This window comes from Homo sapiens, chromosome 15, assembly GCF_000001405.40.
Source record: "Homo sapiens chromosome 15, GRCh38.p14 Primary Assembly".
Classification (NCBI taxonomy): domain Eukaryota; kingdom Metazoa; phylum Chordata; class Mammalia; order Primates; family Hominidae; genus Homo; species Homo sapiens.
Genome location: NC_000015.10, coordinates 101,677,177 through 101,698,553, shown reverse-complemented (window position 1 = coordinate 101,698,553; position 21,377 = coordinate 101,677,177). Strand labels below are relative to the sequence as shown.

At 39.6% G+C, this 21,377-nt stretch overlaps 1 protein-coding gene and 1 non-coding gene across 7 annotated transcripts in view; one reads left to right on the top strand and one right to left on the bottom strand.

The window, feature by feature from the left end:
* The window catches only part of TARS3 (threonyl-tRNA synthetase 3), a 70,878-nt gene that overhangs the window by 25,920 nt on the left and 23,581 nt on the right, over positions 1-21,377 (top strand). For 4 of the 6 annotated variants that reach the window (NM_152334.3, XM_047432142.1, XM_047432140.1 and 1 more), the window contains 2 exons: positions 12,492-12,658; positions 14,317-14,479. In NM_152334.3, the coding sequence (NP_689547.2) occupies positions 12,492-12,658; positions 14,317-14,479 (330 nt within the window). Of the gene's footprint in view, positions 1-1,082; positions 2,981-12,491; positions 12,659-14,316; positions 14,480-21,377 lie in introns of those variants that run through there. The other 2 variants (XR_007064422.1, XR_931749.4) reach the window with 2 other exon arrangements.
* Positions 14,938-15,039, bottom strand: LOC124903609 (small nucleolar RNA U13). The gene has a single exon (XR_007064834.1). It is a non-coding gene; the product is annotated as a small nucleolar RNA U13 (small nucleolar RNA).

The window sequence follows — 21,377 nt, the reverse complement described above, 5'->3', positions numbered from 1 at the left end:
GTCACCATCTGTAGAAATTCTGGTATCTACCGGTCATCACTGCCCCAGGGTCAAAAGATACACTTTGATTAAGATCCAGTTTTGCTCTGCCTGGCTGTGATTCTGCCCTCTGAGTCATCCTTTCTCTTCCATAAGAAATGGCCCATATGTGCCTTAGGGTAGCTTTCTTTTTTAAAAAAAAAAAAATTATTTATGTATTTTTTTATTTTTTATTTTTCTTTGAGACAGAGTCTCGCTGTGTCGCCCAGGTTGGAGTGCAGTGGCGTGATCTCAGCTCACTGCAACCTCCTGCCTCCCAGGCTCACGCCATTCTCCTGCCTCAGCCTCCCGAGCAGCTGGGACCACAGGCGCCTGCCACCATGCCAGGCTTTTTGTATTTTTAGTAGAGACAGGGTCTCCCTGTGTTAGCCAGGATGGTCTAGATCTCCTGACTTCGTGATCCGCCTGCCTCAGCCTCCCAAAGTGCTGGGATTACAGGCGTGAGTCACCGCGCCCGGCCTGGGGTAGCTTTGTTCTCAACCTGATTCCTTCCTGTAGAAGGCTGGGGGAATCCAAAGCCCTTATTTCATTTTGTGCTGCCTTTCAATCTAAGCTAGTACAATTCCTTTAAAAACTTTGCGAGTCCTTTTCTATAAATTTATCATCAACACGGTTAGATAAAAGCCACATCCACATCTTTCTGACACCGATCCTTCTTTGCCTGGGAGGCTACTGTGAGACAATAGTACACTGCAGAGTCTTCAGAGCCTTCGTGTTTAATGGAAAGGGTCTACAAAGCACACTCCTAAGACTTTCAGAAGCCTTACTAGGTGCACTTACAGTAGATCATTCTGAGGTTTTCACAGTGTCTTACAGCCCCGCCCTTAAGATCTTTACCGTAAGGCTGTGCTTTGATGATTATAATCTGAATTTGATCCGTGTCCTGAAGCCTCGTGAGTCTTTTTTGGTACAGTCTAAGGATAAGAAGGTTTCATTTTTGAACCCAGCAGGTCCTGGTGGCTTTATATTTCCTCTAAACTTGGCTCAAAAAGTTAATTAGTTTCACGTTTGGTTTATACCTCTTTTCTTGTATTTTACCATAGGGAGCCAAAAATCGGCTGTCATTTTCTACATTCTGCCTGGACGTCTCCCCAGCTAAGTCCATGAGTTCTTTGGGTACCCTTTCTGTTTTCCATGTTACTTCTGGTGACAGTGTTACCCACCATCTGTTTCTGGCACCTCGTAATAAGAATCCCTTCTAGCTTCTGCCCACCACCTGGCCCCAAAGCTACATGTTTTAGGTTATTGTTATGTCAACTGAAGAATCATGAGGTTCATAAAATTGTAAAGGAGAGCTTCATTTCTTCTGAGGGGTTGCAGCCTGAAATCTTGCAGGCTAGGAAGCTTCATAGCTTCTGGCAGAAACCAGAAGCAGGCATTTCAAGGGAGGGAAAAGTAAGACAGGAATTTATGCTGATGAGATTGGCCAAGTATAAATATTTAACAGGTTATAAGAAGAGCTATGAATATTCACAAAGGGGGGACATTTATATACATAGTAAGCAAACATGCATGTTACATGCATCCCTTGTTCACTTTGGGGTGGAGACAATGCATTTAAATTAGGCTGTATAACCAAAAGGTCAAATGGAGGACACGGAGGCATCCCATGTGCAGCCTTTATAAACCAACCAGAACCAGTGCATGGTGAGTGGTCTTTTAACAGGAAGAAATGCTGCTCAGTTGTGTAAATCAGTGGTGGAACAAGTCTTTCAAAAGGGCTTGTTTCTGATTAACTCTTAGGAAAGAAAGCCTAATGGTTGTTAGTGACAGAGTGGGTATAATTAGGCATGTCCAACCTCTTGTCACTGCCAGTAACTCAGTTTTTAAGGTTTCTCTGGGGTCCTTTGGCCAAGAGGGTGTCTGTTCAGTCAGTTGGGGAGCTTAGGATTTTATTTTTATTTCTCAGTTATAGCAGTACCTACATCCAGTGCAAAATTCTGTTCTGGATGGCTATTGCAACATAGCAAAGTATCCCAGAACTTAATAGTTTAAAACTGCCATTTCATCATTACTGTCTTTCATAGTTCCAAATTTTAGGCTCCTGTGGGTGGTTCTCGCATTGGGTCCCTTACATGACTGTATTCAGGTAGAGTCTCATGCCAGGGTTATTGATTGAAGAATGTCCCCTTCCCATCATAGAAAGACTAAAAACATCAGGCATTGGCAAGAATATGAAGCAAGTATAACACTTACTGCTGGTAGGAACGTAAAATGGTAGAACTACTTTGTAGCAGTTTGGCATTTCCTGTAAAGATAAACGTGCCCCACTTCTTTTTTTTTTTTTTTTTTTTTTTTTTTTTTGAGACAAAGTCTCGCTCTGTTGCCCAGGCTGGAGTGCCGTGACGCGATCTCAGCTCACTGCAAGCTCCGCCTCCTGGACTCATGCATTCTCCTGCCTCAGCCTCCCAAGTAGCTGGGACTACAGGCGCCTGCCACCACCATGCCTGGCTAATTTTTTTGTATTTTTAGCAGAGACCGTGTTAGCCAGGATGGTCTCAATCTCCTGACCTCGTGATCCACCCACCTCGGCCTCCCAAAGTGCTGGGATTATAGGCATGAGCCACCACCGCGCCCGGCCTTTTATTTTTTTATTTTATTTTTTTCCTAAGATGGAGTTTTGCCCTTGTCGCCCAGGCTGGAGTGCAATGGCATGATCTCAGCTCACCACAACCTCTGCCTCCCAGGTTCAAGTGATTCTCCTGCCTCAGCCTCCCAAGTAGCTGGGATTATAGGCATGCACCACCACACCCAGCTAATATTTTTGTATTTTTAGTACAGATGGGGTTTCTCCATGTTGGTCAGGCTGGTCTCAAACTCCCAACCTCAGGTGATTTGCCCGCCTCAGCCTCCCAAAGTGTTGGAATTACAGACGTGAGCCACCACGCCAGCCCCCACTTCTAATTATCCCAAGATAAATAAAAACATATGCCCGCATCTACACTGAGACTTGTATTTGGATGTTCATAGAAGCGTTACTTATAATAGCACAGAACCAGAAACAACCCCAGATTCAGCTTGTGAAAAGATAAACATAATGTGGAAAGTCCATGCTGTGGAATACAACTCAGCATTTACAAGCAGTGAGATACTGATATACACATGAAGGAGGAACCTCGAAAGCATCGTACTAAGCCAGATAAGTCAGAGAATGCATAAGGCACCATTCCATTATATGACATTTCAGAAATGCCAAAACTATAGTGACAGAAAGATGATCAGGAGTCCAGTGGGTGGGGAGAGGGGATTGACTCCAGGGGGTCAGGAGGGAACTTCCTGGAGGGTGGAAATGTTCTATATCTTGACTGTGGCAGAAGTCGCATGACTGTATACATTTGTCAACAGTCACTGAATTGTACACTTAAAATTGGTGAATTTTATGGCGTGTAAATTTTACCTCAAGCCATTTTGTGGTAAAATACACATAATATAAAAATTTACCATTTTAACTATTTTTAAGTATGCAATTCATTCTCACTAAGTACATTCATGTTATTATGCAACTGTCATGGTCCATCTCCAGAACTCTTTCCACGTTGCAAATCCGAAACTCGCCAGGACTTTGTCATCATCCTACACTTAATCTCTGTACCCACTAAACACTAATTTCCATGCCTGCCTCCCCCAGCCTCTGGTAACCACCACTCTAGTTTCTGTCGCTATGAAATTGACTATTTCTAGGTGTCACATATAAATGGGTTCATAGGCTATTTGACCTTTTGTAATAAAACTATCTTTTTAAAAGTCTCCTTTGGTGTTGACATAGGCAAGCTAGCTTTCTTACATTAGTGTTTGCATGATATATCTTTTCCTATCCTTTTATTTTCTGCCTCTGTTTCTATATTTAAAGTACGTTGCTGGAGAAAAGAATACTGTTGGGTCTTGATATTTTTCAGTCTATCTGCCTGTGTCTTTTTTCCTCTCTGCCCTCTTCCATGTGCCTCAAGGTCCTCCCTGAGGTTCCAGTTGGTTCTGTTAGTCACCAGCCAGTAGAGGGTGTGCTTGTGGGACAGACTCTCAGTCACAGCTGGGCTGCCTCAGGGGCCATGGTCTGGTCCAATATCAGTAGCCTTTGCCTTGGTGCTGAGTCCTAGACCAGTCAGTAGTAGCCAGAGTGCTGGGGATACATGGTGCTGAGCACGATGGAATATATGGCCGCATTCTACCAGGAAGCATCCTTTTCCTCAGAACTGGAACTGCTGCATTTCTGTGGAAGGGATGTAGGAGGCCAGGATGGGCTGGGTGTGCACACTGCTCCCACTGAGGGAAATTTCAGGATTTCTGAGTTTTTGACTCAGGTAAAATGACTTCCACTTAGGTTTAAGTAAAGGCAAGTGAACTTTTGTTTGTATATTAGTTACTGACTGTGTGGACAACTGATAGTGAATAAATAGATCTTTTTGTTAGTCTCCTTGAATTTTTTTTTCCCTGCATTCTGGAAAATATCTGTCAGCTGATTCTGTACTTTTCTTACCTTTTTTTAAATTAACTTTTTTAATTGTCATGCAGTAAAATGTACGCCTTTTTGATAACATGCAGAACTGTGTTATCACCTCAGCAATCAAGATACAGAACAGTTCCGTCACCCCTCAAAACTCCCTCATGCTACCCTTTTAAAATCAAATCCTCCCCAGCCCTGACCTCAGGGAACGGCTGATTTTTTCTCTACCCCTAAAATATTGGCATATAAATGGAATCATACTTTTATAAAACCTTTAGAGACTGACCGCTTTCACCCAGCATAACACCCTGGAGATGCATCCGAGTTGAGTGTCCCCAGCGGGCCTCTGCTTTTGTCCCTGGGCAGTATTCCATCATATGAACATACCACTGCTTCAGATCCATCCTGCAGTTGAGGGGCATTTGGGTTGTTTTCAGCTTTTGGCAGTTATGAAAACTGCTATTGTCATTCATGTACAGTTTTTTGTATGAACATAGGTTTTCATTTTACTAGAGTAAATACCTAGGAGTGTGATTTCAGGGTCATATGGTGATATGGTTTGGCTGTGTCCACACCCAAATCTCACCTTGAATTGTAGTAATCCCCAAGGGTCAGGGGTGGGGCCAGGCGGAGATAATTGAATCGTGGGGGTGGTTTCCCCCATACTGTTCTTGTGGTGGTGAATAAGTCTCTTGAGATCTGATGATTTTATAAAAGGGAGTTCCCCCGCACAAAGTCCCTTGCCTGCTGCCATTTAAGATGTGCCTTTGCTTCTCCTTTGCCTTCCACCGTGATTGTGAGGCCCCCCCACCAGCCATGCTGAACTGTGAGTCCATTAAACCTCTTTCCTTCATAAATTACCCAGTCTTGGGTTTGTCTTTATTAGCAGTGTGAGAATAGATATGGTAAATTTAAGTTTATAAGAAAATGCCAAACTATTTTCCAAAATGACTACTGTTTTGCATTCCCACCAGCTGTGCATGAGGGTTGCTTTTGTAAAGCTCATCTCAGTCACACCTTTTGCATTTCCTGGAATCTGCCTGACTTGTTGATGCATGTCTTGAAACCCTGGAGTGGGGAGGGGAGTGGCTTCTCTTGTTGTTATATTAATAACCCACTTGGGGAATTTTTGCTTCCTCTTCACACAACCTTAGATGGAGTGAATTTCTAGACCAAGCTTGTCTTTGTGAACATGGCAGGCCTCAAAACATTCAGCTCTTCTGCAGGGAGAGTCCTGAAAGATGCACTCCAAGGGTTTAACTGAAGAGAGTCTAGTGAAGGAAGTATTTATGGAGATATGGGCCTGGCTAAGGTAACTAACAAGGGATGATAGAGCGCCCAGGGATTACCAATAGCAAGAATCCCTTCCCCTCCATCACTAGGCCTGCAGAAGTGAGGAGATGGAGTAGTAATACTAGAACCCACAGAGAGCTTGGAGCCATGGAGGAGAGAAGTGAGGAGATGGAGTAGTAATACCAGAACCCACAGAGAGCTTGGAGCCATGGAGGAGAGAAGTGAGGAGATGGAGTAGTAATACCAGAACCCACAGAGAGCTTGGAGCCGTGGAGGAGAGAAGTGAGGAGATGGAGTAGTAATACCAGAACCCACAGAGAGCTTGGAGCCGTGGAGGAGAGAAGTGAGGAGATGGAGTAGTAATACCAGAACCCACAGAGAGCTTGGAGCCGTGGAGGAGAGAAGTGAGGAGATGGAGTAGTAATACCAGAACCCACAGAGAGCTTGGAGCCGTGGAGGAGAGAAGTGAGGAGATGGAGTAGTAATACCAGAACCCACAGAGAGCTTGGAGCCGTGGAGGAGAGGCCACACAACAGAAGCTGTAACTGTGGAACACAGCCAGAACCTGAGTAAACCCACAGCAGGGAGAACCAGGGAAAGAAATATCCAGACCTCTCTCTTCCACTACCCTGTGAATCCTTTGGAACTTCCCATTGGTCAGACCCAATCAGAAACCATATGGAAAGTATATTGGCATGTCAGGATTCTCCACAGAAACAGAACCAACAAGATACATAGAAAAGAAGAGATTTATTATGAGGAATTGGCTTGTGTGATTATGGAGGCCAAGAAATCCCATGATCTGAGGGTCCAAGAAAGTTGGAGATGTAATTCTCGCCTGAGTGCAGAGGCCTGAGAACCAGGGGAGCTGATGAATCTAAAAAAAGGAGAGAGCTCAGGTACATACACAGAGAATTAAACAGTGCTTACCATGGTCAGGGGTTGGGGGGAAGAAATGGGGGGATATAGATCAAAGGATACAAAATAGATATCTAGGATCAACAAGGCCAGAGATCTAATACAGAACATGAGGACTAAAGTTAACAAAATTATATTTATCAGGGAGTTTTGTTAAGTAATTAGATTTTAACTGCTCTTGTCACACACACAAAAAAGGTAACTCTTTTACTATTTGTGTCCTATAACATCATGTTGTGAATCTCAAATATGTGAAATAAAATTTATTGAAGAAAATTTAAAAGGCTGGGCATAGTGACTCACTCTTGTAATCCCAGCACTTTGGGAGGCTGAGAGGGGTGGATCGCTTGAAGCCAGGAGTTCGAGACCAGCCTGGCCAACATGGTGAAACCCTGTGTCTACTAAAAATACAAAAATTAGCCAGGCGTAGTGGTGCACATTTGTGATCTCAGCTACTTGGGAGGCTGAGGCAGGAGAATTGCTTGAACCCAGGAGGTAGAGGCTGCAGTGAGCCAAGATTGTGCCACTGCACTCCAGCCTGGGCAAGAGAGCAACACTCTGTTTCAAAAATATATATATATATATATAAATACTGAGGTAATAGTTCTAAGACTGATACCCATTGGCCGGGCGCAGTGGCTCATGCCTGTAATCCCAGCACTTTGGGAGGCTGAGGCGGGTGGATCATGAGGTCAGGAGATCAAGACCATCCTGGCTAATACGGTGAAACCCCATCTCTACTAAAAATGCAAAAAAATTAGCCAGGCGTGGTGGTGGGCGCCTGTAGTCCCAGCTACTCGGGAGGCTGAGGCAGGAGAATGGTGTGAACCCAGGAGACGAAGCTTGCAGTGAGCTGAGATCACGCCACTTCACTCCAGCCTGTGTGACAGAGCGAGACTCCATTTCAAAAAAAAAGATTGATACCCATTAAATAATTTTCATTGCTGAAGGAAATGTGAGGAAACAGTTATCATATACTTAGAGAGAAAGTTTAAATTGCTACTAATCTGGTAACAAATATTAATGTGAAAAAAATGCACACTCCTAGCAATATTCTTAGAAAGGAATCTAAAATATACAATTAAAATCACATAGAAAAAAACTTTACTGCAGAATAGTTTGTAGTATTCAAAAATGAAAAGTCTAATGTTTCTCAATAGTAGAAGGATTAAATACTTTGTGACATGTCCACACAATAAAGCACTATGCAGTTAGTACAAAAATACATCTATGCATACTAACTTGAAGGGGGTTCAGTATACCTCACCATTGAAAACTGGAAGTGACAGAGTAAATGTATAGTGTATCCTTTCTTTTTATAGGTAAAAGCAAAAAACAACAAAATCCTGTATGTGTGTTTTGTGTTTGCACAGTCATGGAGGAGAGGGTTGAAATACAGGAACAGCAGGCCATTAGCATTATCTCAGGGCAGTAAAGGGTGGAATGAGAGAAAATGTTCAGGTTTTCTTTATACACCTTATTTTTTTCCACATGAAACATAATTTAAGCATGTTGTATTATACTATTGTGTTTAAAAGTATATATTTTATAAAATAAAAAAATAATAATCACAGCAAGTAAGCCTTGTGCGGAGCCCACAGAAGTCAGCTTTGGGGAACACAGTGCAGGGCAGAGAAGGAAGGAAAATGGGCCAAGATGAGGCGAGACAGGCAGTGGCAAATGGAAAATAACCAGCCTGGCTCACCCCCTGTGCCTCTCAGCACATTCTTGCCTTTTGCTTGGAGGACACTGAGGACATTGGTTTCCTCCCACAAACTCCGATCAGCCGATGTGTCATCATGTGGTGATGTCATTTCAGTTTCACCTAAATCTGAATCGTGCCATTGGCCACCATGAGTGCCCTTCATGTAAGAATGCAAGGAAAAGTCATAACTAAATGTAACTGTTTCAGCCTCTGTAGATGGACGCTAGGGCCAAGCTGATACATCAGAGCCTTCTTTTCCCATCACTCATTCCACATTCGCCTTATCCTGGTGGCACCCCAGATGGGCATTGTTTTATTTGGTGGGTGCATTAGTTTCCTAGGGTATTATAACAAAATACCATAAACTAGGTGACTTAAAACAACAGAAATTTATTATCTCCCAGTTTTGGAGGCCAGAAGTGTGAAATCAAGGTGTTGACGAGGCTGTGTTCCCTCTAAAACCCATGGGGGAATCCTTCCTTGCCTTCTCCTAGCTACTGTTGGTTGCCAGTCATCTTTAGTGTTCCTTGGCTTGTTGAAGCGTCATTCCCATCCTCTGTCTTCACGTGATGTTCTCCCTGCGTGTCTTCACATTGTCTTCCCCTTGTGTGCATCTGTCTCTGTGTCCAGATTTCTCCTTTTTATAAAGAGACCAGCCATATAGTATTAGGATCTACCCTAATGATCTCATTTTAATTTGATTACCTCTATAAAGACCCTACTTCCAAATAAGGACACATTCTGAAGTACTAGGAGTTAGGACTTCAAAATATCTTATTTGGAGAATACAGTTAAACCAATAATAGTGGATGGCCTCAGTCTGTCCTTAGGATCCAAGGTTTTAGTAATGCTCTTTGTGGGGTTTCAGGGCTCCCACTGATGGTTGTTGCTAGATGTGTTGATATCAAAGGCTCCCCACTGAATTCCAGACACAGTCCTCCTTACTCCATTGTAAGCAATACGACTTCTCCCAGTAATTGCGATCAAGGGTAGTAAGTCTTTCCCCAAGTAATTGGGATCAAGGGTAGTAAGTCCTTTTCTGTCTATCAGTTCTATAGTAAAGGGAGCCCATAATGGGCAATGGACAATCTCAACTCCCAAGCATGTCTCAGTTTTTGGTGAAAACATACTTTGGGCACCAAAACATGTTATCGAAAGATTCCAAAGCTCCAAGGATAAAGAAAATATCCTGAATGTTTCCAGAGAGAAAAAAGCCACAGACATAGGACTGGGTATCTGAATGGCATTGAAATTTTCAGTGGAAACACTGAAAAACAGAAGACAGGAACAATGCCTTAGTAATGCGAAGCCTAGAAATCTATACCCAGTTAAAGTAGCTTGCTTCTGGGTTTCTCCCACTGCCAATTTAGTTTTGGCTTTCCTAGGTCTTCTGAGGCAATTAACACTTGATCACCTACTTTGCAGATTCTAACTTATTATAGCATTCATCTTCTCTCCTATTTTCTTTGTCCTGGTAGATTTATGCTCTTATAAAAACTTTCTTTACTCTTATTTTAATGGGGTTTTGGAAAGGAGCTGTTTATGTGGAATTGCCTTATTTTTTACAATGAGAAATTACTTGAAAACAAATTTATGACACTGATTCTTAGAAGCTATTTAGATGTTTTTAAGTGGCCAGATCACTAGGTATGGGTAGAGACTCAGCTCCTTCAATAACCTAAACTGGTATTTCCAGGATGAAATATGATTTTTAATGTTCCAGATAAGTTATCTGGATTTCTTCAGGAGACTGGACTGAGCTGTGAACTGCTCAGTCACTGAGAGTTTACTCTTTCCCAGCATTAGAGAAAGAAATTAATGGCATGGCATGAGACATATTTTACTCCCCAACTTTTTCTCTTGAAAAGTTCAAATCTAGAGAAAAACTAAAATGCAATGCAATGAACATCCATATTTCCTTCATTTGGATTCATTAGTTGGTAATATTTTGCCAGTTTGCTTTATCTCTCTGTTATTTATATGTGTGTGTGAGAGACAAAACAATATGTATATTACAATATGGAGAGATACAGCAGCATAATATATATAGATATCTCCTATATATTTATGTAAAAATATAATAGTTGCTGACACTTCATCTCATAGGGATTATATTCATTAGTTTGTGCTGCTATAACAAAGTACCCTAGACTGGGTAGCTTATAAACAACATAAGGGTATTTCTCACAGTTCTAGAGGCAGTAAGTCTAAGATTAGGGTCCCAGCATGGTTGGGTTCTGGTGAGGGCCCTCTTCCAGGTTGCAGACTGCTGACTTCTTGTAACCTCAGATGGCAGAAAGAGGACCAGAGAGCTCTCTGCGAATCCTTTTATAAGGACACTAATCTCATTCATGAGGGCTCTACCCTTATGACCTAATCACTTGTCAGAGGCCCTACTTCCTAATACCATCACCTTGGGGTTAAGGTATCAATATCACAATTTTGGGGGAGACACATTCAGTCCATTGCAGGGATAGTTTAAAATCATTTCTAAACATCTCAAGAAGACATACATTCCTAACATGGTTGCATTCAGAGTGAATTAAAAATGCATTGAGCAGTATCTCCTGAGCTAGACTTTAAAAGTAGTTTTTAGTAAAAGCGAACACGCACACCCTGCCACACACACACCCACACACTCACCCTTAATTTCTGGGACCTTGTTTAATCTGAATATATGGAACCATCTGAAATAGCCAATAATCACTGCCATTCTTAATGACATCATTTTGTTAAACATTTTCTTTCTTTTTTTGAGATGGAGTCTAGCTTTGTTGCCCAGGCTGGAGTGCAATGGCGTGACCTTGGCTCACTGCAACCTCTGCCTCCTGGGTTCAAGCGATTCTCCTGCTTCAGCCTCCTGAGTAGCTGGGATTACAGGTGTGTGCCACCACGCCTGGCTAATTTTTGTATTTTTAGTGGAGATGGGGTTTCATCATGTTAGCCAGGCTGGTCTCAAACTCCTGACCTCAGGTGATGCACTTACCTTGGCCTCCCAAAGTGCTGGGATTACAGGCGTGAGCCACCACACCCTACCTGTTAAGGTTTTCTAATTTAGTAAAAACAAAGGATAGGTAAAGCAGCTCACTGAATGGCCGAGACCTAAGCTGTCTACCGTGGACTGCCAGGATGCCCTGCTGAAGAATAACAGACAACATTCCTTTCAGTTGTATAAAACCATTGTTAGTAATCTTAAAATGTTATGTTTTATGTTTTTTTAGCTGTGAAAACAGTTTTTCAAATGTGCTCAAAGTATACATGGCATTCTAGATTTGGGCCAGATGTCCATTAAGTGGTTTACAAATGTTGAGAATCTAAGGATTCTCAGAATTCTTACTTATTCAGCTTTTTGTGTTCATCCAAATTAAAACTGTCATGCAAAGGGTCCCTATCAAATTACTGTCAAAACAATTTGACCTAATTGACATTTGTAAAACAACAGCAGAATATGCATTTTTGGAAAGTGCACATAAAATATTTACCCAACAAAGATCACCTAATTGTTTTGTTTTTAAAGAAAGTTTAAATAAAGTTAAAACTTTGCTTGGAAAAAAACTCTCTTCTCCTGTCTCCAGTAATTCAATTAGGGAAGCTGTTAATAGGTAGGGAGGGAGAGAGGCCAGCTCATGACTTAATAATTTCAACTACTTAAATCGTTATACACTAAAATTCTTATTTCTGTTTAAAACTAAATAAATCAAAATTATAACATGCAACATGGCATTCAGGCTTATTAAATTATAAATTTTTTCTGCCTCTTAATAGGAAAAAACCTGTTTAGAAGGACTTTGGAGTAGTTACAGTGAGTTTCTATATATATTGTATTTCAATTACTACTTTTCAAAGAACTAAAACATTATATACTATATACTGTTATATGCTATAAAATAAATATACTCAATAGAAATTATACTAAGCATATGTAAATCTTTCTTCCAAGATCCAGAAACCACCACACCTAAAACTGAGGGTACATTAATCATGAATTAATATAGGACATGAGCCCAATTTGAAAATATTTGCTCATAGTGTTACTTTGCATGGAATTGTGATCTGCCCTAGCAGATTTTAATGTTGAATGCATGTATCTTGAAGGAGGAATATCACAAACGGGACTTCACGGAGGTGCTCTCTCCCAATATGTACAACAGTAAACTCTGGGAAGCCTCAGGCCACTGGCAGCATTACAGCGAGAACATGTTTACCTTTGAGATTGAAAAGGACACTTTTGCCCTCAAACCCATGAATTGTCCAGGGCACTGGTGAGTATTAAAAGCGAAGCAGACCTTTTCATGAGAGCACATAGCACGCTTCGTCACAATTATCTTTTAATGCTTTGTGGAATGAAAGAGTCCCTTTAATCTGAAGAGTGGTGATTACTAATTTTTACTAAGTTGTTTCATTCCGGAGAATGGATTTACTTTTGAAAATATATTTGATCTTTGGCAGGTATGGGATGTTAGCTGGTAACCATTGCATTTTTTTGTGCTGATTAAAGGATAATGTTATGTGTCAATTTTATAAGTTTTATAATATTTGTCTTTCTTATAGTAATGCACTTCACATGTTCATATTTGCAGAATATTTAGTTCTTTCATACTGTTTGGGTGGATTATAACAAGATCAATGAGGTCATAATCAATGGGTTTCTGGATTTCACTGATTCCAAGATACCATTTTTCTTCCACATTTCAACATTTCTGAAGTTGAAATGCATCTTATAGTTGGTGGCATCTTAGCATTATATCATAATTTAATTAATAGGTTATTTTCTTTCTTTGTAGCACATAAAATGAAGATACATTTTACAATCAATGCTGTCTTTGATTCTATGAAAGACTAATTATCATAAAGTTGGTATGCAAATTCAACCTTGTAAGACAAACATATTGTACAACTGAAACTGAATAGGCATAATTGTCCACAAAAAACAATCCCAACAATTGTAGTTTTTGTATTATCAACATACATAGTTTCAAGTAAATTTACCTAGAAGATAATTATTAAAACCGGTAACTGAACACTGAAGAAAGCTCTTTGCCCTTTTAAGTGAAGATGAGAAGAAATTTAACTTTATGATGATGTCATGTAAAAAATATATATAACTTTAATTTTAGGAACACCGGTATGTAAACATTCTGTATCCTCTCTTTCTAAACAGAAGGTAGAAGCTATGCTAGTGTTTTGCATTGTAAAACACTTGTGTTAACAATTTCTTAACTCATCTTCTCAAAGGCATCCTTTAAAATTATAGCCTCGTACTTTATAATGAAAGTAGAGAATTTAAGTTTGTCTTTTTACACCTCAGAATAAGAAAGCAAGACCACGGTGGCTTAGAGGCAATGGGATATGGAAGCTAGGAGTGCTTTCTGCAGGAGAGAAGTCTTTCATTCAACAGAGAACATAGTTGAGTGCTTTTTGTGCTTGGAGCTAGAAGTGCAGAGGTGATTAAGACACAAACCATTCCCTCATGGAACTCATGAGCAGAGTGGGCAGGGCCATGCATGTAGACAATCTGTTATAAAAAGACCAGTGCCATAATGATGGCATGTTTGAGGTGTTCCAGGAACGTGAGGAGAAACTGCCTAGCCCTGTCTGGGAAATGTCTAGGAGGGCTTCATTTAAGAAGTAGCCTTTGAAATGAATCATAAACAGTAAATGGTGATTCACTGTGTGGATAAGGGGAGGGAACAGCATTTCTGGGAAGAGATAATAGACAAGCATCTTTCTCAGAGTGCTGCAGTGATGTAAATGCAAGGTTCACTAATTTGTGGAAGAATTTTTTTTTTAACCTGGTGATCTAAGAACTAGAATAAGGAGTTTATGAATCTTGAGGCTTAATTGTAATTTCTTTATATTTAGATAATTATTTAATATTTCTGTGCTGTGTAAAAGCTGTGTGTTACCACATCTTTTCTAGTCTAATGTTTGCCCATCGTCCACGATCTTGGAGGGAAATGCCTATTAGATTTGCTGATTTTGGAGTTCTGCATAGAAATGAACTGTCGGGGACTCTCAGCGGCTTGACCAGAGTGAGGCGCTTCCAGCAGGACGATGCTCACATTTTTTGCACAGTGGAGCAGGTAAACAATAACACAGAGTGAAGCAGTGTGGTCACAAATTGAGTGTGATGCCCCGCACACATCTTGTATTCTTTCAGAGTTACTGAAACATAGACGTTTGGTCTAGTCTCTGAGATTCATTCAGCTCTAACCTGCTGTGATTCTCTAAATTAGGTCAATAGATTAATCATCTCTTGACATGAAATATATTCCTTCAGTGATTTTATTAACCTAAATTCCATTAAGTGGAGTATTTTAAGGGATTTGGTGGAATTCTGGATGTTTTGTTTTTCAGTATCGCCTAGAACTTAAAATTTACTTTTTCAAGTTTTTGTGTTAATTCAAGTTAAAATTGCCATGCAAAGTTTCACTGTCAAACAATTTGACCTAATTGATGTTTATATAACAACAGCAGAATATACATTCTTTGGTTTCATGTTGGATGGGTAATGTGCCAGTGTTGTATCCAATGTGCTTCATGTGGGGTGGGTAATATGCCAATGTTGTACCGAGGTGTGAGGGAGGTACATCTTACACATGTGTGTACACCCAGTCATCACGCTTATGAACTACAAAAAGCTCAGAGTATTTGTTCTTTGAAATTGCACGTAGAATATTTACTAAAATAGACCATATTCTGGACCATAAAACAAGTCTCAGTGAGTTGAAAGGGATGCAATTAAAATAAAATGTTTAATTAACCCTAATGTTTAACCCTAATCCTAACTGACCACAATAGAATTAAAAATAGATAACACAAAATCCAAAGGAAAATTAGACAATTTTATATAACAAATGAAATAAAAACACATCAAAATTTGTAGGATGCGATTTAAGTGGTAGAGGGATGTTTATAGCACTGAATACCTGCATTAGAAAAGAAAAATCAATGACTTAGCTTTTACTTAAGATAGAAAAAGAAGAACAAATTACACCCAATGTAATGGAAGCAAAAGAAAGAAAATAAGAAAGAGCAGAGCAGAAATCACTGAAATAGAAAATAAAGAGTAAAAATAAAACAAAAGCTGGTTCTCTGAGAAGATCAATAAAATTGATAAACCTTTAGTCAGACTGATGAGGGAAAAAAGACAAATAAAAATGTCAGGAATGAGACAGATGTCATCACTACAGATTCTGTAGCTGTTAAAAAGATAAGGCAGTTTTATGAATAACTTTATGCTCATACATTTGACAGCTTAGATGAAATGGATAAATCTTTGAAAGACAAAACTATTAAACTTTACTCAAGAAGAAGTAGATCATCTGAATAGCCCTGTGTCTACTACAGAAATTGAATTGATAGTTAAAAACCTTCCTACACAGAAAACTCCAGGCCAAGATGGTTTTACTGGTGAATTCTACCAAACATTAAAGAAGGAATAATACCAATCTAGAGATACTCTTCCAGAAAATTGAAGAGGAGGAAATCTTCACCACCTCATGAAGCTAATGAAGCTAATATTGCTGTGATAGAAAAATAAGACAAAGAAATTAAAAGAAAACTACTGAACATCTCTCATGAACATAAAATCAAAAAATTTAAACAACATTTTACTAAGTCAAATCTAGTAATTTTTTAAAAAGGACATCTTAATCAAATGGACTGAATCCCAGGAATGAAAAGGTAGTTTAACATTAGAAAATGAATCATTGTAATTCCCCACATTCACAAACTAAAAAAAAGAAAACAAACAAAAAGACAAAAAGCATATTATCTTCTCAGTAGATGCAGGGAAAAGTATTTGGCAAAATTCTACATCCATATCTCATAAAAACTCTCAAAACTAGGAATGGAAGGGAACTTTCTTAACCTGATAAAAGGCCTCTATGAAAAACCTACAGCTAACCTCATACTTAATAGTGAGAGTCTGAATGCTTTACTCTTAAAATCAGATATTAGGTAAGGATTATCTCATTACTTCTCTGATCATTGTACTGCAGGTTCTTTCTGATGCAGTAAGTTAAGAAAGAGAAATAAAAAACACCTAGATTGGAAAGAATTAAAACTCTTGTAAATGACATGATCATCTATGTAGAGATCAGATGGAATCTACAGAAAGCTATTAGAAGTAAGGTGAATTTAGAAAAATTGTAGTATGGAATATCAACATACAAAAATGAATTGTATATGCATTTCATAATAATAAACCCTTGGAAATTGCAAATAAGAAACAATTTGTAATAGCATCTCAAAACATATGATAGTACTTTGGGATAAGACTGACAAATATGTTGCTATGGACTGAATTGTGACTCCCAAAATTTATATGTTGAAGTCCTAACCCCCAATGTGATGGTGTTTGGAAATGGGGCTTTTGGGAAGTAATTAGGTGTAGATGAGATTATGAAGATGGAACCCTCATGATACGATTAGTGCCCTTTTAAGGAGATGCCAGAGGCTTTCTGATTCTCTCTGCCGTGTGAGGACACAGTGAGAAGTCAGCCGTTGGCAAACTAGGAAGAAAGCCCTCACCAGGGAACTGAATCAGCTGGCACATTGATCTTGGATTTCCCAGCCTGCAGAACTGTGAAGAATAAATGATTCTTATTTAAGCCACACAGCCTATGGATTTTTGTTCTGGCAGCCCAAGCTGAGTAATACATACATACACAACCTATACAGTGAAAACTTTAAAACATTGCTGAGATAAATTTAAAGAAGGCCTAAATAAATGAAATATACCTTGTTCGTGGTTTGGAAGACTAAATATTATTAAAATATCAGTTATCCCCAAGTTGATCTATAAAGTCAGTACAATCCCAGTCAATACCCAAGCAGACCTTTTTTCCCTGTAAGAGTTGACATGCTGATTCTAAAATTCGTATAGAAAGCACAAGAACCTAGAATAGCCAAAAGAACTTTGAAAGATAAAAACAAATTTGGAAGAGTCACTATGCTTGGTTTCAAGAATTATGAGAAACTACAGTAATCATGCTGGTCTAGATAGATAAATCAGCAAAACAGAGTCTAGAAATAGACACAAATATATGGACAACTGATTTTTAATTAAGATTCGAAGGCAATAAAATGGAGGAAAGGTAATATGTTCAACAAATGATGCTGGAATGATTGTGTATCCATATGCAAAACATGAGGTATGAGGATTCATACCTCATACCATATGAAAAAATTAAGATGAATCACAGGCCTAAATGTCAAACATAAAAATACAAAACTTCTAGAATAAAAATTGGGGAAAATCTTTGTAATTAGGTGATAGGTGATGATTTCTCAGATATGACACCAAAGGGCAATCCATAAAAGAAAAAAGTTGATAAATTGGATTCCTCAAAATTTAAAACTTCTGCTCTTCAAAAAATACTGATCATAGACAGGAAAGACAGGTTACAGACTGGGAGAAAATATTTGTGAGGCATATATCAAATAAAGGACTTGAATCCAGAATACTTAACAAATATTCAAACCTCAATAAGAAAACAGACAACCCAGTTAAACAATGAGCAAAAAAGACCTGCTTTGGGGAAGATGAAGCAGGTGCTTTCCCTTTCCTTCCCTCTAAGAACAAGTAAAAACCTTGGATATTACATATAAAACAAACACGAGACTCTGAAAGGTGTTGAGAAAAAGGGCACACTGGCTATGGACATCAGGACCTAAGAAACAACATGGTAGTGAGTTCCTTAGGTGTTTTTGTTTTGTTTTGTTTTGCCACATATATTCCAGACTTGGCAACCAACAGATGCCAACAGGCATCGATAAAACAGGCCAACAGAAGTCTGCTTGCTGTAGCCAAAGGACTAGGAAAGGGGCAGCCTAGAAAGATAGAAAAGTTTTAGACAATATCTACTCTATTTCAACCAGACACCACAGAAAAAACTGTGGCCCTTTATATGCCAGCTAAGGCTGATTGAGAAGCTTATATTTTAACTCTCAGCAGGCTCTAAATAAGTACCTCAATACCTGTTGGAATGGGTAAGAGAAGGCTTATTAGGAAGCTGGGAATTTTACTCCTGCATTAACAAGATCCCATCCCCCTCCCCCAACCCAGCAGTGTCAGTGAAGACTATGTGGGGAGCCTGGACTTTTGCCCTCCCCTGGAAGTAATGAGGTGCCTCTTCCAGTCCTGCTTGAGTAGTGTCAGAAGACGTCTAGTGGAAAGATAAGACTTTCTCACTGCCAATTGGTCATGAGGCCATGCTTTCTGTGTGCAGTAAAGGCCATGGAGGGGGGCTAGAACACCTGTGCAACCCAGAAGTAACGAGGAGCTCCTCTCCCCTTACTTCCTTTCTAAAAGGAGCTTGGACTGCTTTTCCCACTTGCCAGTAACTGTCCAGTACTGTCCTCCCTCTGCTGGAAGAGTGTCAGTGGAAGTCAGCTAAAACAACATTTAAGATCCAGAGGCTTACTATAAAACCGAAAATGTCCAGGTTTAAGAAATTGAAAATCACTCATCATGCTAAGAACAAGAAAAATCTCAACTTGAATTTAAAAAGACAATCTATGAACGGTAACACTGAAATAACAAAGATGTTACAATTATCTGCCAGAGATTTTAAAGCAACCACCATAAAAATGCAATTACTAACTAATGAGCAATTACTAACACACTTGAAACAAACAAAAATTACAAAGTCAGCGAAGAAACAGAAAATCTCAGGAAAGAAATAGAAGATATAAAGAAGAACCAAATGGAAATTTTGAACTGAGAAATATAATATTCAGTGAATAGATTCATGAGCAGAATGGTGAAGACAGACATAATGACAAGAACAGAAATTACACAATCTGAAAAACATAGAGAAAACAGACTGAAAGAGAAAAGAACAGAGCCTGAGAACAGTGGGATATAACAAGATATCTAACATTCATATCATCATAATTTTGGAAGGAGAGGAGACTGAAGGTGGGAGTGAAAAAGTACTCAAAGAAATAATAGCTGACAACTTGCCAAATTTGGCAAAAGACATCTACAGATTCAAGAAAGCTGTTCAGGATAAACTCCAAGAAACCTACACCAAGATATATCATAGTAAACTGAAAACTAAAGACAAAGGAAAGGCTTGAAAGCAATGAGAGAGAAATTATGCATTACCTTTAAAGAGAAAAACAATTTGAATGATAGCAATTTCTCATTAAAAAACAAAAAACAAAAATCCTGGAGGCCAGAAGGAAGTGGCACAATACTTTTAAAGTGCTGAAAAAAGAAAAAGGAATTTTCAACCCAGAATTCTATGTCTAAAGAAAATACCCTTCAGCAATTGAGGGGAAATCAAGACATTGGACCCACCAAAAGAATGGCTGTAGGAAGTTTTCTAAACAGAAAGGAAATGATGAAAAGAGGAATCAGGGAACTTTAGGAAGAAAAAGATTGTGAAAATAAAAACAGGTAAATACAATATATTTTCCTTCTCCTTTTGCGTTTTCTAAATTATGTTTGATCATTGAAGTAAAAATCACATGTTCTTTCTGATGTTCTAAATGTATGTAGAAGAAATGTTTAAGAAAATTATACTATAAATGGGGTAAGGTATAGGGAATAAAAGTTTTTGTACTTCACCTGAGCTGGTAAAGTGACAATATCTGGACTGATAAGTTATATAATACCTAGAGAAACCAATAAAAAAAAAAGCTATAGACAGGGATACACTAAGAGAACCTATAGATAAATTGGAATTGAATTCCAGAAAAATGTTAAAGTAATCCATAGGAAGACAGGAAAAATAAAACAGAAATGAATAACAAGAGAGAACAAGAAGGAAACAAAAAGGCAGTGTAAAGCCCTAACATATTAAGTGTAAATGGTCTAAATAAACCAATTAAAAGAGATTGACATAGTAGATTAAAAAATATGACCCAGGCTGGGTGAGGTGGCTCATGCCTGTAATTCCAGCACTTTGGGAGGCTGAGGCAGGCAGATCATGAGGTCAGGAGTTCAAGACCAGCCTGACCAACATGGTGAAACCCCATCTCTACTAAAAATACATAAATTAGCTGGGTGTGGTGGCACACACCTGTAATCCCAGCTATCAGGATGCTGAGGCAAGAGAATCGCTTGAACTTGGGAGGCAGAGGTTGCAGTGAGCCGAGATCATGCCACTGCACTCCAGCCTGGGTGACAGTGATACTCCATCTCAAAAAAAAAAAAAAAATGACCCCCAAAAAAAAAGAAGTCCCATGATATGCCAATTAAAAGCTGGAGAAAGGCCAGGCATGGTAGCACACACCTGTAGTCCCAGCACTTTGGGAGGCTGAGGTGGGTGGATCACCTGAGGTTGGGAGTTCGAGACCAGACTGACTAACATGGAGAAACCCTGTCTCTACTAAAAATACAAAATTAGCCAGGCTTGGTGGCACGTGCCTGTAATCCCAGCACTTTGGGAGGCTGAGGTGGGTGGATCACCTGAGGTTGGGAGTTCGAGACTAGACTGACTAACATGGAGAAACCCTGTCTCTACTAAAAATACAAAATTAGCCAGGCGTGGTGGCATGTGCCTGTAATCCCAGCTACTCAGGAGGCTGAGACAGGAGAATTGCTTGAACCCGGGAGGTGGAGGTTGTGGTGAGCTGAGACTGTGCCATTGCACTGCAGCCTGGGCAACAAGAGCAAAACTCCGTCTCAAAAAAAAAAAAAAGCTGGAGAACTAGGAAAGCTGATGGTATAACTCCCAGTCTAAGGCCAAAAGCCTCAGTGGGGTGAGCAAAGGAGGGAGCTGGTGTAAGTCCCAGAGTTGGTGGGCCTGAGAACCAGGAGCTCCAGTGTCTGAGAACAGGAGAAAATAAATGTCCCAACTCAAAAAGAGAGAGAATTTGCCTTTCCTCTGCCTTTGAGTTCTATTCCTGCCCTCAACAGATTGGATGAGGCCCACCCACATTGGTGAGGGTGGAAGTTGTTTACCAATTCCACTGATTCAGATGCTCATCTCTTCGAGAAACGCACTCACAGGCATTCCCAGAAAT